This window comes from Homo sapiens, chromosome 6 (assembly GCF_000001405.40).
Source record: "Homo sapiens chromosome 6, GRCh38.p14 Primary Assembly".
Lineage (NCBI taxonomy): Eukaryota > Metazoa > Chordata > Mammalia > Primates > Hominidae > Homo > Homo sapiens.
The window spans coordinates 75,449,380-75,466,671 of NC_000006.12; the positions used below are offsets into that span (position 1 = coordinate 75,449,380).

The following is a 17,292-nucleotide window of genomic DNA, read 5'->3' on the forward strand; positions in this document are numbered from 1 at the left end:
CACTGCTCGGGTGATGGGTGCACCAAAATCTCAGAATCACCGCTAAAGAACTTATTCATGTAAGCAAATACCACCTGTTCCCCAAAAACCTATTGAAGTTTTAAAAAGAAAAAAAAGATAAATGCCTTAGCTGGACATGTGCCTGTAATCCCAGCTACTCAGGGGTTGAGGCAGGAGGATCCCTTGAGCCCAGGAGTTCAAGACCAGCCTGGGACACAGCAAGACCCCATCTGTATTTTTTTTAAAGTCTAGGTAGCCTGGCTAAACACAAAATTGATGAAACCTGAACAAGAGTAGGACATTGAAGGAAATGCATTTAAAAACTAATGATATTTATTTGACTGCTATGGCAAAAATCCTCAGACATTTACTCCCAGCTTAACTATCTTAAAGTCTAAGTATTTAAAGTATGAGTGTTTATGACTCATTGAAAATAATCAGTGGAATCTGCAATTGCACTCAGAGTAATATGATAACCAGTTAGGAACAATTACTTCAGGTTAAAATACACATAACTCTGAATACTATGTTGATATATCTGATTATTTTATTTAAACAATTTTCTTTTTTTAGAGACAGGGTCTCACTCTGTCACCCAGACTGGAGTGCGGTGGTGCAATCATGGCTTACTGTACGGCAGCTTTTAAACTCCTGGGCTCAAGTGATCCTCCCATCTCAGCTTCCTGAGTAGGTGGAACTACAGGCGCACACCACTGTGCCTGATTACTTTTTAAAAATTTTTTTTGGTAGAGATGGCAGGGCCAAGGAAGTGGCCCGGGCGGGTGGAGGGATCTTGCTATGTTGCCCAAGCTGCTCTTGAACTCCTGGCCTGAAGGGATCCTCTCACCTTGGCCTCTCAAAGTGCTGGGATTATAGGCATGAGCCACCATGCCCAGGCTAAACTAATTACTGATTTCAAGAGATGTTCTACAAGTATTCTGTGATTGTTTAATAAGAATACCAATAAATTATTTTAGAATAATCAGAGGCCAAGTGAAGTGTCTCGCACCGGTAATTAACATTTTGGGAGGCCAAGACAAGAGGATTACTTGAGGCCAGAAGTTTGAGACCAGCCTGGGCAATAAAGCAAGACCATATCTCTATTTAAAAAATTAAAAAATTAGCTGGATGTGGTGGCATGTGCCTGTAGTCCCAGCTACTGAGGAGGCTGGGATGAGAGGATTGCTTGAGCCCAGGAGTTTCAGGCTGCAGTGAAATTATGACACTGCACTCCAGCCTGGGGAACAGAATAAGAACTTCTCTCTTAAAAAAGAAAAAAAAAAAAAAAAAGAGTGGCTGGGCACGGTGGCTCATGCCTGTAATCTCAGCATGTTGGGAGGCCGAGGCAGGAAGATCACCTGAGGTTGGGAGTTCAAGACCAGCCTGAACAACATGGAGAAACCATGTCTCTACTAAAAATACAAAATTAGCCGGGCATGGTGGTGCATGCCAGTAATCCCAGCTACTCAGGTTGCTGAGGCAGGAGAATCGCTTGAACCTGCGAGGCAGAGGTTGCAGTGAGCCGAGATTGCGCCATTGCACTCCAGCCTGAGCAACAAGAGCGAAACTCCATCTCAAAAAAATTAGTTTATATAAGTAATGTAATCAATTTACACTTTGGAGGAAATATAAGTTCAAATGCTAGTGGACTTCTCATTTCATGTTGGGGCAGGGATAAGTGTTGGGTGTCAGGGAGTGAGAGGAAACCACATGTTTCACAATTTCAAAAAGCAAGCCATTGACTTGCCATGATGTTTAGATTGAGGAACTGCTTTGATATGTTGATCTGTATAAACAGTATAAACAAAATTCAGAGGCAAATTATAAAATAGAAACATTATTTTCAAATATTATATATAAATATATATTTATATATTATACATATATGTATATGTAATTTGAATTAATGATTAATACATATTTATCATTAATATAATAATCAAAATATCAGTAATTATAGTAGAAACAACTTATAAATCAATATAAAACACTAATATATAGAAAAATAGGCAAAAGGTATCAACAGGTGATTCCCAAAGAAGATAAACAAATTTCTACTCTAACATAAAAATATATTTAACCTCATACATATATCAAAGTGCATTTAGAAAAATTAGTGACATTTATGGCAAAACAACAATAAAATATCATTTTAAAAAGAGTTACAAAGGCCAGGCACAGTGGCTCCGGCCTGTTATCCCAGCATTTTGGGAGGCCAAGGCAGTCTGATCACTCGAGGTCAAGAGTTTGAGACCAGCCTAGCCAATATGGTGAAATCCTGTCCCTACTAAAAATACAAAAATTAGCCAGATGTGGTGGTGTGCAGCACCTGCAGTCCCAGCTACTCGGGAGGGTGAGGCAGGAGAATCGCTTGAACCCAGGAAGCGGAGATTCCAGTGAGCCGAGATTGAGCCATTGCACTCCAGCCTGGGCATTGCAGCGAGACTCCATCTCAAAAAAAATTTAAAAAAAAGAAATTACAAAACTAAATGCTGGTAAATGTATGGTGAGATAAGCACTCTCATACACAACTAATAGAAATATCAATTAATGTGAGGTAGCCTGTAAAAAAATTCCACTTTTTCTTCCTGTTAAATAATCCGACCAGTTGTATAAAGAGGTTTAATATTTGGATCGAATAATTCCAACTTCTGGGAATTTATCCTTAAGTTATTATCAGAGATGCCACCAGGAATTTATTGACAAGGATTTCTACCAAAGTTTTTTTTTTTTTTAGTTATTATTATACTTTAAGTTTTAGGGTACATGTGCACAACCTGCAGGTTTGTTACATATGTATACATGTGCCATGTTGGTGTGCTGTACCCTTTAACTTATCATTTACATTAGGTATATCTCCTAATGCTATCCCTCCCCCTTGCCCCCACCCCACAACAGTCCCCGGTGTGTGATATTCCCCTTCCTGTGTCCATGTGTTCTCATTGTTTAATTCCCACCTATGAGTGAGAACATGCAGTGTTTGGTTTTTTGTCCTTGCGATAGTTTGCTGAGAATGATGGTTTCCAGCTTCATCCATGTCCCTACAAAGGACATGAACTCATCATTTTTTATGGCTGCATAGTATTCCATGGTGTATATGTGCCACATTTTCTTAATCCAGTCTATCATTGTTGGACATTTGGGTTGGTTCCAAGTCTTTGCTATATTATTGGATTCCAAATTCCACAACATTGGAAACAACTTAGATGACCCATAATGAGGGAGTTATCAAATAAGTTATGGTTTATTCACGTTATAGGAAATTACACAGAAGATAAGAATTAGATATAAAACTATGTCTTGTGCATAATACTAATCTTGTGACTATAGTATATAAGTAATTCAGAAGGACAAAATGTGAAAAAATACATCAAACTACTCAGCAGTTATTTTGGGTGGTGAAATTGTGTATGATTTATTTTCTTTATACTTATTTTTTCCCAAATAGTCTATAGTGACAATGTACTCCTTTTGCATTAAAATTTGTTTTTAAAAAGTAAGGTATGATGCCATTTAACATGAAGGTGTCATATTTTGATGAGACAAAAAGCCAGATGGAAGAATAAAAGGAATGATCAAGAACGTTGATAACTGAAACCTTAGTCTCCATTGATAGGTGTTTTGTAGTATAAAGTGTTCGCTGTAATTTCCAGCAAGGCAAGGGACTGCAGATGACGCAGCAGTCTCACCATCAGGCTCAAGCCAAGGTTAGTACATCTTGGATTACCCTAAGCTGGTCATCTTGGATTACCCCATACAGAGTTGTAAGGCTGTTGTCTTTTTCTCCTGTCCTTCTCCCCTTTGCTTTGCTTTGCTTCTTTAGTCATCTTACCCGAAGGCCTATCTTCTCCATGAAATGTATTTCCACCTGTACCCACTGCAACTTCTATGCCCCTAGAAAACTACAATATGTATTGTCTAGACCTTTCCTTTAGCACTGAAATATATTGTCCTATTTTGGAAGTTAATTGAGATTTTGATGCTTCAACTAGATTTTTAAACTCCACTAAGGGTTGGATAATATTTAAAATTCTTTTGTAGCCCTATATAGTCATTCAGTAAATATCTGTTGTGCACATAGTATGGGTTAGACAACTGTTTGAAGTGCTAGAGATTACATAGGTGAAAATTTTTTAAGAGAGGGAGAAAGGCTGGGAATGGTGGCTCACACCTGTAATCCCAGCACTTTGGGAGGCTGAGGTGGGAGGATTGCTTGAGACCAGAAGTTTGAAACCAGCCTGGGCAACATAGCAAGACCCCATCTCTACAAAAAATTTAAAAAGTTAGCCTAGCTTGGTGTTATGCACCTCTAGTCCTAGCTACTCTGGAGGCTGGTGCAGGTGGATCAATTGAGCCCAGGGGTTCAAGGTCACTGTGAACTATGAACAGGCCAGAGCACTCTGGCCAGGGTGAAAGGGAGAAAGAGAAAAAAAAATCTCTGTCCTTAAGGGCTTAAAATCTAGTGGCAAAGCCTGGTACTTGGGGCCATGTCATGTGATGCAAATACACAATAAGTCATAACAATGATGGTGCCACTAATGAAGACAGAAACAATGACAAAGAACACTGTATTAGTTTTCTATTGCTGCCATGACAAATTACCATAAATTTCAAGGCTTAAAACAACATCCATTTATTATCTCACAGTTTCTGCAGATCAGAAGTCCAGATACAGCGTGGCTTAATTGTTTCTTCTGCTTAGGGTCTCTCAATGATAAAATCAAGGTGTTTCAGGGATGCGTTCTTTACTGGAGGCTCTGCGAAGAACCTGTCTCCAAGATCATTCAGGTTGTTAGCAGGATTATGGTCCTTACAGCTGTAGGACTGAGGTCTTTGCTTTTTTATGGATGTCAGTGGAGAGGCCTTTACTTCCTAAAATTCTCCCCTTGATCCTCACACTAGAACCCTACATCTCAACACCAGCAATAGTGCATTGAGTCCTTCTCATGCTTGGAATCTCTCTGATTTTCCCTTTTGCAGCATCTCTCTTCCCTCTAGCTGGATGAAATGCTCTGCTTTTAAAGATGCATGGGATTAGATTGGGCCCACTTGGACGATTCAAAATAATCTCCTCATCTTAAGGTCCATAACCCTAGTCACATCTACAAAGTCTCTTTTGCCATGTAGCATTCACAGGAGTCAGAGATTAAGGTGTGGACATCTTCAGGGGGGCTATTCTGCCAACTAAAAACAGTAATAACAAAGAATAACTAAATGGAATACTGCTAACCAAAATTATGGATTCAAGAAATTTAATTAGAGTCCGTGAAGTCCCATGTCTTTTCTTATGATGAGAAATATTTCTACAATAGGCCTGATTTCCTGATGACTAAATCTGGAACATATTGACAATCTTTTGCTTGTCAATGTTTTTAATTAGCAGAAACCAATTTTAGCCATAGTTGAGTTTTCTCCTAATTACTCATTTCATTTTTGTAGGATCAACTAATTTATTCTCATCTTTGTCCTAACATCAGCCAGACACTGAAGAACCAAGGAACAAGAAATGTTTGTTTTGAGGGAGCAGGGGAAAAAAAAGAAGAGCCGTGCATTACCTCATAACACCCAAAATTATGTAACTTCTCCACAGGATAAGATCCGATCCTACAGTAAATAGAAAGGGTACCTAGGAGGTGGGAGCATTAGAAAGAAAGCTGTCTGGCCTCTTTGGGGATGGAAAGAACAGACTGGTTAAGGACTAATCCTGTGGCACCACAAAAAGACTTTCAAGAGATTGGGGGGGTGGGGGGACAATGCCAAATTCATATGACAGACATCTCTTTTAATGCTTGTACAGTGCCACTTATTCATCTGAAGAAGCAAAAGGAAATGCTTTCAACCCAGATCCCAGACACAGAGAGGAGCCCAGGTTTAAAAGCTCCTCCCTGCCAAGGACAGAGTGCCACTCAACTCCATCTTTGCCCATAAGGTAAATCAATTGCCCAGGCCCTTTGATGACATCACAACTTGAAAGACAAAAAAAAAAAATAAAATTGTGAGAGTTTTTTTCATGGTATGAAATGTATCCAAAGCTCATTTTTATTGCGATGTCCAAACATCAGTGCTAGTTGGGAAGAAAAATAACTAAAGAAGAAAAATTTTTAATGAAATTGATACTGGATTTTTGGGACAACCAAATTAGAAAATGCAGGCAAAGTGCTTTGTAAATTGTGGGGGGAAAATTTTTAAAGGTGATTGCTATTACTATTCTCAATTCCAACTCCTTTCTCTCACCATTGAGATAACTGAACCCAATCAACCCCAGAACAGCTTGACTTCCTCAAGGTCATGCCATTCCCTTGCTCAAATAACCTTCAAGGGCTCTCCACTGCCCACCAGAAAAACTTTTACCTCTTAGATTTTCCATTCAAGGCTTTCTTATCTTGATACATTTACCTTTCAAATCAAATCACCAGTGAATTACTGAACGGCTACTAAGGTCAAGATACTATTAGGCTGCTGTGGGCATAGGCAGAGTCACAAAATATGTTCTATTTCTTAAAGTACTTCACAATCCCACTGTTTCCCATATGAACAATAACTATATAGTTAAACTCATCTGCTTACTCTACCCCAAACCTACTCTCAACTTTTATACCTTGACGTCTTTATTTATGCCTTTTCCCTCACCTAAAATGCTCTCCATCAAAACTACCTCTTTCTTGCAAAATCTCACACATCCTCCTAGGCCCTACTCAAGTGATATCTCTCCTAAGTCTTCCTCCACACTAAGAGGCTAGTGGTTCTCAATCAGAGATTTTCCTCCCCAGGGAACATTTGACAATGTCTGGAAACACTTTTGGTTGTCACAAAGGGGTTGAGGGTACTACTGGCATGTATGAGTAAAAGCCAGAGATTCCACTAAACATTTTACCATGCATAGGACAGCCCCCCACCCCAACAACAAAGATTTATCCAGCCCAAAATGCCAATAATGCTGAGATTGAGAAAGAAGCAGTATCTCCTCTCAACTCCTAGAACACCAAATATTTAAACAATCTTTTGGCATCTAGCATATATTGCAAGATATATTTATTTGTCACATTTAGCAAATAAATATACAGGATGCTCAGTTAAGTTGGAATCTCAGATAAAGAACAAATAAGTTTTCAATAAAAGTGTGTTTCATTTAATATTTTTAATATTTCACATACACTCATACAAAAGAGTATTCTTTTTTCTTTTCTTTTTTTTTTTTTTGAGACTGATCTTGCTCTGTTGCCAGGCTGCAGTGTGGTGGCACGACCTCAGCTCACTGCAACCTCCCCCTCCTGGGCTCAAATGATTCTCCTGCCTCAGCATCCTGAGTAACTGGGATTACAGGCACATGCCACCACGCCCAGCTAATTTTTGTATTTTTAGTAGAGACGGGGTTTCACCATGTTGGCCAGGATGGTCTCGATCTCTTGACCTCGTGATCCGCGCGGGTCGGCCTCCCAAAGTGTTGGGATTACAGGCGTGAGACATCGTATTCCCAAAAATATTCTTTCTTTATCCAATATTTTCTTTGTTACTTTTTCTTATTTGCATGTATTATTTTCCTAAATGATATGGAAGTTTGTAAAAGAGAGGAAAAATTTTATGCTGTTCAGCCTTCTTTCAGCATTTAATTCATACCTATGGAAAGCACTGAAAAAACCTTTATCAATAACAATGATAAAATATTTTTTATATCCTTTACTATCTATGAGCACTGCAGGCTTACAGTTATCACTGACATATTTTACGAGTTTCAACATCCTCATGACTCCCTCATCCTTATGTTGAGTCTTCAAGCCCCATGCTATCATGAAGACAGCAAGTACCAGTGGAAATAAAAAAATGCCAGACCCTAAATTCGTCAGATGAGTCTGGCTCAAATTGAAAAAGCAGTGTGTTGAGTTTGGCACAACACAAAGACATGTACCTAAAGCTCTGTTTCATTTGATTATCCACTTCTCCACATGCACACTTCTTTATAGAACTGCTCTTTATACATAACTGCTCAAGAGCTTAGGGTAGAAAGGAGGAGTGAACTACCTGTGGCAAACCTTCTTTCTGTTATGACTGATGTGGGGTAAAATGTCCTGAAATCAGGCCAGGGTTAGAAACTCAAAATCCCTAGGCACTGAAAAGATTATCCTTCACCCCACTTTCATACGGAATTCAAAATAAGTTCCACAAAGTTAGAAATTCTCCCATAGTGTCTACTACACTGATGCTTTAAAAAAATACCTAATTATTTCAAACAAAGTCTCTCTCTCTCTCTCTCTCTCTCTCTCTCTCTCTCGTTTCTGTTTTATCAATGCCCTAAGCACATATTTAGCCTTCTCAGAGAGAAATCAGCAGTGGCTAAAAGGAATGGTCATTGTGTGACATCCCTATCCTAACAATGTTGAAAAATATTCTTTTTTGAATAGCTAGATCTATGAATGCAAAATTAATCAATCAGGAACATTTCCAAAAATCTGATCTAATGGAAGTCTGGCCTATCCCTTTAATTATTCTAATATGGAAAACTCCGAGGAGAACAAAACCATATATTTTTTAAAAACTTTTTGCCTAGAACATTGGTTTTCAATGGAGTGGAGGAGAGAGCAATTTTGTGCCACCACCTCACCCACCCCACCAATAAGGCTACCAGATTTAGCAAATTAATAATCAGAATGCTCAATTAAATCTGAATTTCAGACAAAAAACAAGCAAGTTTTTAGTATAAATATGTCCAATTAAATACAATAAAACGATTCATTCTTTATCTGACATACAAATTTAACTGGGTGTCTTGTATTTTATCTTTCAGTCTCCCTGGGGGACGTCTGGCAATAGCTAGAGACATTTGGGGATGTCAAAACTAGGAAGGACGCTACTGCATCAGGTGGGTAGAGGCCAGGGATGCTGTTAAACATTCTACAATACCTCCGACAGCACATCACAACAAAGAATATTCAGTCCAAAATGTCAATAATGTTGAAATTGAGAAATCTTTATCTAGAATGACCTTTGAGAACGTCTATTCTTTCTTCTTCTTTTTATTAGAAAAGAACAGAAGGTCTAGAGGAGTTAAAGTGGCTTGCTCTAAGCCTCACAGCTAATTAATTTCAAAGTTGGTCAACTTGGAGGCAAACGTAGAAAACTGGTTCCATTTCTGTGTGGCTCAGAAATGTTGCCTACTAAAGCAGATACGCTTAAGCTACCCAAGAGTGGATTCCTTCAGACTTCTCCAATAGAAAACATCAGTCAAGCCCCTAGGTGGTCTCCGGCTGGGAGGAAGAGGAGGAATAGGGATAACATTTTTCTCAAATATTTTTCCAAATCTTTTCCCTACCCCAAATTTTATTTATAGGAAAAGAAGCAAGGGAAGAGTGAAAACACTGGCTTGGAATGAGCTCTGATCATGTCTACTCTCTCCTACTCCTACTTTTTCTTGGAGCTACAAAGATAAATTGTTTGAGTCTTTAGGAGAGCCTAACTCCTTATTCAAGTATTTCCTTGCTCCTGGATGTGGAAAAATTGCTTAAATAAAAACTACTCAAAAGAAAAAAAAACTACCCAAAGAAGTTATTAAGTATTACAAAAGAAAAATGAAGGCATTGATGAAACCTACTAGAGATTATTTGGGGGACAGCCAAATGTCAGAGGCCTGTGAAATAACACGAAGTGGTGTACTGAAAATGTATTCATACGTCAATTCTTGCCACATAAGGTTTGCCTGGAGGCCCCAAAGCAAGCAACATGGCTCATCTAAGTAAAGAGCCAGCCAAGATAATCTAATGACCTAAGAATCTAATGACACTATACACTGTCTCTGATCCTGCTTGGTTTTATTTTAACAGACCGATTTTTATTGCTTCTTTTCTGTGAGTGTCTGCAATGATTCCCTGCCACTGCTTACTGAAATATTTTCTTAAATTATGAGTTGAGTTTTTTAAAACGCAGTATTAAAAATATTCATTCAGCATGTTATTAATTACTAGTATGAATTGTTGGCAGGATTGGACTATAGAGGAGTAATTGCTTTAACCACATTATCTAACTAAGGAGTACTCATCCTATTAAAAGAATTTTCACATGAAACATAAAAATGAATTTAGAAAAGGGCATATCCTATTGAAGATATTGGAAAAGAGTTTCCTCCTTCCTTCTCAGTCCCTTCAGCGCTATCATCCGATCATTACAAAACTTTCAAAAGAAATAAGACTTTGCCATTTACATTGCCTTTACCAGGCCTGGTACAACTAAGATCTGAATCTGTTCCTTTTTAATATCTTCTTGAAACATCCACCTTATCATTGTTATTTATATTAACATCTACATTCCCTTTTAGACACATAATTTTCTGTTACTTTTTGATCCACTGATTTAACAGGGATGCATTTCAATAGCAGTCTTTCCAATTGTCAAATATATTTCTTGTATCTTGATATTCAGGTTACCCACACACTTTGCATTCCCAAGAGAATTAGAAGATAATTTTCAGAATCTTGAAGTCATTTCTCTGTTTCCTGGGAGGCAGTTTCTCAAATATTTACATTAATCTCTTTGAGTGAGTTAAATAATTATAAGTAATTCAAATCAGACATTATTTTGAGAAAGGAAAGGCTACTAACTCCTGCTCTAATTTTCATTTTATTTGGGAAAACACTTAAGACTCCAACAGAGCCAATAAAGTTAATGGTGATCCTATGACTAGGAGGCCCCATAATTCCCTCTGCCATTAGCTCTTCACCTAAAAGACAACAAAAAATCTCCTCAGCCCAGTCAGTTGGAGCATGTCTAAGGATTCTTTGGTTGGAACTCCTTCAGGAATTTAGTGCGGTCTCCACAACTGCAACCTTCTTCAGGAAGTGTGAGGCATGATCAAGCTAACTAGAACCCTCAAAGTATTTTTGCTAAGTCTCAGCAAATATATGAAGACTAAAAAGGGATAAAGATACTCTCCCTAGAATTTAGTAGCACTCTGAAGAGAAAGTCCTTTCTGCCATTCTAAAGGTATTCGGCTCTTAATACATCTTTCTGATGACTTACTGTCATTTTATGCATATTAACATATTTTTTAAAGAATCTAAATATTATTTGGGGAAAAATCTATTACATTCTAAAGTAGACAGCTAAATTTTTATAGGAGTAATATTAGATATTGAATCATTTCTGTAGTTGAGAATCTGGGATCAATAAATTATTTTACAAAGTAGATATCTAGGAATTTCAGCCGTCTTAGAGTAAAATAACTCAGAATAACTAATAATAACTTTCATTTTCTTCTGAGGCTTGATTTAATACTGAGGTGAAAAGTTCCCCTTTTGGAAATGGTAATTTAGCCTCTATTTCTGAGATTCCAATGTGAGCCTTAGTCCTCATTATAGGTTTTTGTGCATCTCATCTCAGAAGATAACCAAGACAATATGGCCAAAAGACTGTAAAAGACTGAGCTTTCTGAGTGTTACAAAAAAATGTGTTGAGTCAGAATACTTGTTAGCTTTGTTTTTTTCTGGCTTTGATTGGACATGATTTGCTTATAAGAGAGATAAGACATGCTGATAAAAATAGAACTGGCCCAAACAAGCTGATTTGTAACAAAACGTTTAGTTCTTTCAAATTTTTCTGTAGCTAACATATTGGGTACATAACTCAAGTAGGATTTATTGTTTACTATAATAACCCACACGACCTCCCTCTCTATCTGACCTTTCACTTTTGTACTTATCAAATCTGATTTGAAGGAAATCAAGTTCCTCTTACTCTCTGAATCTGGGCTGTAAAAAACCTCAGCCCACAAAAACTGTGATAATAACAATACAAGCAGCCCTACTATGTGCTAGGCATTGCTCTAAGCTAAATCATCTTGCATAATCATCAGACCCACTCTATAAAATGGTACATTATTCTCAGTTTTACAAACAAGGAATCCAAGGCAGAGAGAAGTTAAGTAACTTGTTAAATATTGCTCTGCTAAAATTTGAGCCTAAGCAATTTGGGATCCAGAGTCTATTCTTTAACTGCCTCTCATGACACCATAGAAGAAAATTTATTGGCTTGGGCATAGAATTTTTCCTTTGCCTAAACTTATGTTCACGTATATATTTTTAATGTGGTCATATGGATTTTTTTCAGTCAATGTAATATTTGAATATTTTTCTAAGTTTTCATAAGTAAAGAAAAAAACAAAGTCCATTGTTCTCAAAGCACAGAACAAATTGAGAAGTTTGTCCTGATTTGTAACATAGTTTCCCTCAGGAAACCTGCAGTTTGAGACCTACAATGTTAGTAGGAGAATCATCCCTGGATTTGAGGGATATACAGCAATTATTTGATTTCTTTAGACCCATTTTATTCTCTCATTTGCAAAATGAAGGCGATAAATTAGGTTATTTCCAGATTCACTGCATGAAGTTGCCTGGACATACACATTAGAAAGCAAACATTCAAGAATTCTTATTAAGCACCGCTTGAACAAGGGCGAAGTGTGTGCATGCAACACAGGCGCTTAGGAGAAGAGAGGATGGGGTGTGCGTGCTCAGAGGGGGCAATAGGAAGTATTTTCTCAAAGGTGCCTACACAACTTTCAAGCAAGGACAGGTCCTCACTTGAAAAGTGAGGCATGAAAAGCAAAGGCATGGCTGCCCCAGGCCATCCAGATGTAGGCCACACTTGTTCACAGTGCCCTTCTTCAGCAGTGTGTCTTCACCTCTCTTCCCACACCCTTCAGTCTCCTTTTCATGCCCCATTTTTATTTCCACACTTCTTACCACCTCTCTTTCTTCCCCTACCAACTATGAAGCCCACATGGACTTGCCCTTTCTAAGTATCTCATCTCTTTAGGGCCCAGCTCCAGATAGATCACAATCAGAGGTGGGATTTTAAATATTTAACAACCAATCAGAATGGATGTCAGCTATGGTGCTGAAGTGAGTTTCTGAGGATGCCAGCTATAGTGCTGAAATGACTTGGAGGCCCTCTGAGGCACAAAGCTTGACCCCTTTGTCTTCTGGATTGTGAGGAGGCCCAGAGAATTGCAGCGGAGAGGCTGCACAACTGGAATGGCAGGGTCACTGGCTAAACAGAAGAGACACTGACCCAATCAGGACAGATAACAGCTGTAAAGAACTAGTTTGCCCATCTTGATATGTACCACATTAATATAAATCTTGCTGATAATAAAAAATAATTGCAAATAAGGTTAAATCTTATTAAATCTTACAAATTAAATCTCATATATGTGTGTGTATATATATATACACACACATACATATACCTATACATATTGATAAGTATTGCTATAGCTGTGTACAGCAGCTGCTTCAACAAATTTCTTTCCTTCCTCTCTCTAAGCTCTAGAAAATTATCTCTCAAACTCAAGCCAAGCCCACTGCCCAGTCTGTGTTTACTCTCCTGTTAAGCCATTGCTTTCTGGGGGTGCAGAGATGGGTCATTCTATACAAGCTGCCCCCATCCCTTTACTCATTCCAAAGAAACCACTTTTCTATCATCTCCACTTCTCCACTACCTCCCTCATAACCACAGTGGCCCAAGAGCAGTTAAGTGGAGGTGGGAAAGTCTGGGATAGGGGAATGGGAAGAGGGGTCAAAGACTGTAGCTACTCAGATGTTTATTTTTCAGTCACATAACTTCATCTATACCTGAAGTCTTCACAGTGGCCACAGAATGGAAAATGAGCACAATATATGCAAGAAATGTGAAGATGATACACTTGGCTCTTGGTAGAGAGTAAACAGATTAGCAAGAAAGGACATATCTGTGAGCAAAGGGCCAAAGAGTCTGAGTTTAGTTCCATGTTCTGGCGTATGTGCGGATCTTAGAATTGCTGCTCTCAGCGCACAAAGTAAAGCCCACTATTGTGCCCCATACCCCCCTTTCCCTAACTTCTAATCTCATGGAAAGAAAAAATTTCATATATTCAACATAAATTTTGTTTCCATTTAGCATTCAATGTACAGAATAAACAACCAAGCCATTGAATTATCTTGTTCTATTATAACCTAATTGATTACCGTGTTTGTGTGTAGTGGCGGTAAAACTAAAGAGAAAGAAAAATAACTAGCTAATTATGCTCAAGTATAAACATAGCAAAATATCTTTTCTTTTACATAAATATCCAGTTTTGGATTACTCAATTAAGAAAGCAAATCAGCTGAAAATAAACAGACTGAATGAGTTTCCTATGTTAACTCACATGATTCCTCTGAGACTTCCAAAACAGTTTTCTGGATATCATAAAATAAGGGTTCTTTGCACAGCATAGGTCACTAGAATATATTTGACCTAGAAAACAGCCAGAGTCTTAACAAGAGAAAAATATAGTAAAAGCATTATGAAAGCCATGAAGTTAAACCACAACAAGCTATCTGATGTTTCTTATCTTAGTTTATTCATATTAATACCTTTAGATTTCATGACCAGCTCAGAGTCAGTGAACTTTTTCCTTGTCATTTTATTTCCTTATCCAGAGATGTTTGTAGATGGTCATGTTTCTGAAAGAAGGTTCTAGTTGAATTGTTCATATTAGGAGTTAATAGGGGTTAAAAGGAAGGTAGAGATGGTAGGGGGACAGCTGAAAAAAATTGCTATGCTTCTGTGGCTTTTAAAAAATCCATATTTTATGAATCAAAACCATGAAAAACTATCATGATGTCTAAATATTTAGAAGGAAATATTATGCTTCACAGAGGTCATTCTGGCACAGATGTTGGACTGTTCCATGTCTGTCCTTAAGAATCCAAGACATCAGACCCTTGACGTCATCCTTTTAAGATTATAATGCTCCACAATTTTGATTAACTTGTTTTTATAGACTCAGGCCTAATACTCAAGTACTTACATTTTATTATTTCCTTCTTTTAAATTAACATCAAGATTTTCTTTCCAGTGACTAAAAATAGATTATTTATGCTGCAGTGGTAAATGAAGTCTATTTAAAGTACAGTGATTTGGGTTTAACTGCTAAAAATATTATGGGCCTGGGAGAAAATAATACCAGCATTTGTCCTAACATAGCGTTGATATTAACAAAAATGCTCAAGTGCTTTGTGAAAATCACAGAAAAACTCTGCACACTAAACATCAATGTATGCAGGAAATATTTCCTTTTTAAAACTGAATTTAATGCCTGAACATTTTGTAAATGTTTGCAAAGCAAAATTTGTTAACAGGTCTCTTAGCTCATGCTAAGAACAAAATGTTATTTTTACCTGAACTCACAGCCAGCCAATTCTACCTTCTGATGTACAAAGACTTTGGTTCATTAACAAAGAATATATTTGCTTACCTGTTAGTAACCCTATTTTAACTTCATACTATTCTCCCAAATCTGCACCTGTATATCCAGCAACTCATTCAACTCTTCTACTTCTACGTTTAATAAACATCTCAAACTTAACATGTTCAAAACTCAACTTCTGGTCTTACCCGCTATCTGGTCCTCCTGTAGCCTTCCCCACCCCCATTAATGCTGACTGCATCCTTTTAGTTGCTAGGCTGAAACTCTGACTCTTCCTTTTCTCTCACATCCACATCCAACCCATCCAGAAATTTTATAGTTCAACATAGAAAATATATCCAGAATATGACCACTTTTCACTATTACTATTGCTACCACCCTGGACCTAGCCACCATCATCTTCAACCTAGATAATGCAACAGCCTCCAGCCAGCCTTCTTGCTTCTGTCTTTGGCTTACTACGATGCCTTCTTAACACAGGAGCTAAACTTCACCTTTCAAAACTTAAGTCAAGGAGCAAGAGCAACACAAAATGGCAGCTACCATGGGCTCTGGAGCAAAAGTCCCTTACAATTTCCAACCATTGGAAGAACTCAAAGAAGCCCAGAAAGGAGCAGGAGATGGCACAGTTAACTGCGGTCTAGAAGATGATGAAGACATGACACAAGATGCACAGGGCTAACAATTGGGCCTCCAAGAACAATTTATGAAAACTGAATATACAGCCTTAAAATAAAATGTGGACCTAAATAACCAGAAGCAGCCCTTTTGTAAGATTTGTAACATAAATTAATCTGAATGGAGTTACTAGCTCCAATGAAGTGGTGGACCCATTTCACTGACCCATATCAATGCTAGCAAAATGGCAGAATTCATATAGCATCAAAGTTGTCCTGCAAGAGCTTCAGTGCCTAATAATGTCTAAAGAAAATATGAAACTCCTTCAGCTGCCTGAAGGACAGTTTCACAGCAATTAAAAAAAAAAACAAGCTCTTCTCCATCCCCTCATTCGATTTAAGCAGTCTTCATTTTCCACAGTAGTATATTTTCCAGGTGCATCTTATAGACTTCAAAGTACTGGAAAGGAAGCTCCCATTCAAGGACAATTTATCTTAAGATTCCAAAAATGACACTAATTTTTGTCCACTTGAAATATATAAATTGTGCTATAACAAAAATAAAACCAAAAAACCCAAAAACTTAAATCAGATCATGCTCCTTCTCTGCTGAACAAAACTTCTCAAAAGGAGTAAAAGTCAAAATTCTTACAATGGTCTACAAGACTCTGCTTGTTGTCCCCATCTGTTACCTCTCAGACCTCTTTTGCAACTCCTCTCTCCCTCATTCACCTGCTCCAGCCACGCCAGCCATCGCGCTGTTCCTCGAACTGCCAAGCATGTCCCCGGCTTAAGGCCCACCCAGGTTATTCTCTCTGCCTGGCTTACTTTTTGCCCAGATATTCACATGGCTTATTCCTCACCTCTTTCAAGTCTTTGCTCAAACATTACCTGCTCCACGAGGCATTCCCTGACCATCCTATTTAAAATTATAATCTTCATTTCCCTACTCACGCTCAGCACTTCTGATTCCCCTTACCCTAATTTATTTTTTATTTTTCATAGTATTTATCACCTTAACACTTGTGATATGATTTACTTATTTATTATGCTTATTATTTACAATATTTACCCCATGCTCCAGCATGTAAACTCCAGAAGGGAAATAATCTTGGTCTGTTCACTTTCCTGATCAAGTGCCTGAACCAGTACCTGGCAAGTGGTAGGCATTTGATAAATATTTCTTGAGTTAATGAATGGATAAATGAATGCAGTGTTTTATCAAATAGTGGGAATTAACTGCTAGCTTCATTCATGTATCCATTCATCAACAACGTTATTGATTCCAAACAACGTTATTGATCACCAATCAACATTATTGATTCCTGAATGCCTATTCTGCACCCAGTATGGACCCATATTCTGTCTTCTGTTAGACCCCTTGGCAATTAAAATCTGGGATTACATTTAATGTAGTAATCTACAAAGGTAAAACTATTGGTATGTAGAGGACCTAGA

At 37.8% G+C, this 17,292-nt stretch overlaps 1 protein-coding gene, 1 long non-coding RNA gene and 1 pseudogene across 8 annotated transcripts in view; 2 read left to right on the plus strand and 1 right to left on the minus strand.

Moving 5' to 3' along the window:
• The window catches only part of LOC101928540 (uncharacterized), a 75,715-nt gene extending 66,194 nt beyond the window's left edge, over nucleotides 1–9,521 (plus strand). The window contains exons 5-9 of the long non-coding RNA NR_125859.1: nucleotides 3,617–3,707; nucleotides 5,478–5,622; nucleotides 5,798–5,929; nucleotides 8,783–8,857; nucleotides 9,326–9,521. This is a non-coding gene — a long non-coding RNA (uncharacterized LOC101928540). The remainder of the gene's footprint in view (nucleotides 1–3,616; nucleotides 3,708–5,477; nucleotides 5,623–5,797; nucleotides 5,930–8,782; nucleotides 8,858–9,325) is intronic.
• Nucleotides 1–17,292, minus strand: part of FILIP1 (filamin A interacting protein 1) — a 201,942-nt gene that overhangs the window by 157,521 nt on the left and 27,129 nt on the right. The window contains exon 2 of one of the 7 annotated variants that reach the window (XM_047418647.1): nucleotides 4,646–4,768. The exons of 4 other annotated variants lie outside the window; for them this stretch is intronic. Coding sequence is in view for 1 of the 3 variants with exons in the window: in NM_001289987.3 (NP_001276916.1) it covers nucleotides 4,603–4,605 (3 nt within the window). In the remaining 2 variants the exon portion in view is untranslated. Of the gene's footprint in view, nucleotides 1–4,602; nucleotides 4,769–7,010; nucleotides 7,542–17,292 lie in introns of those variants that run through there. 2 more of the 7 variants (NM_001289987.3, NR_110608.3) reach the window with 2 other exon arrangements.
• UBE2V1P15 (UBE2V1 pseudogene 15) lies at nucleotides 15,733–16,391 on the plus strand (annotated as a pseudogene).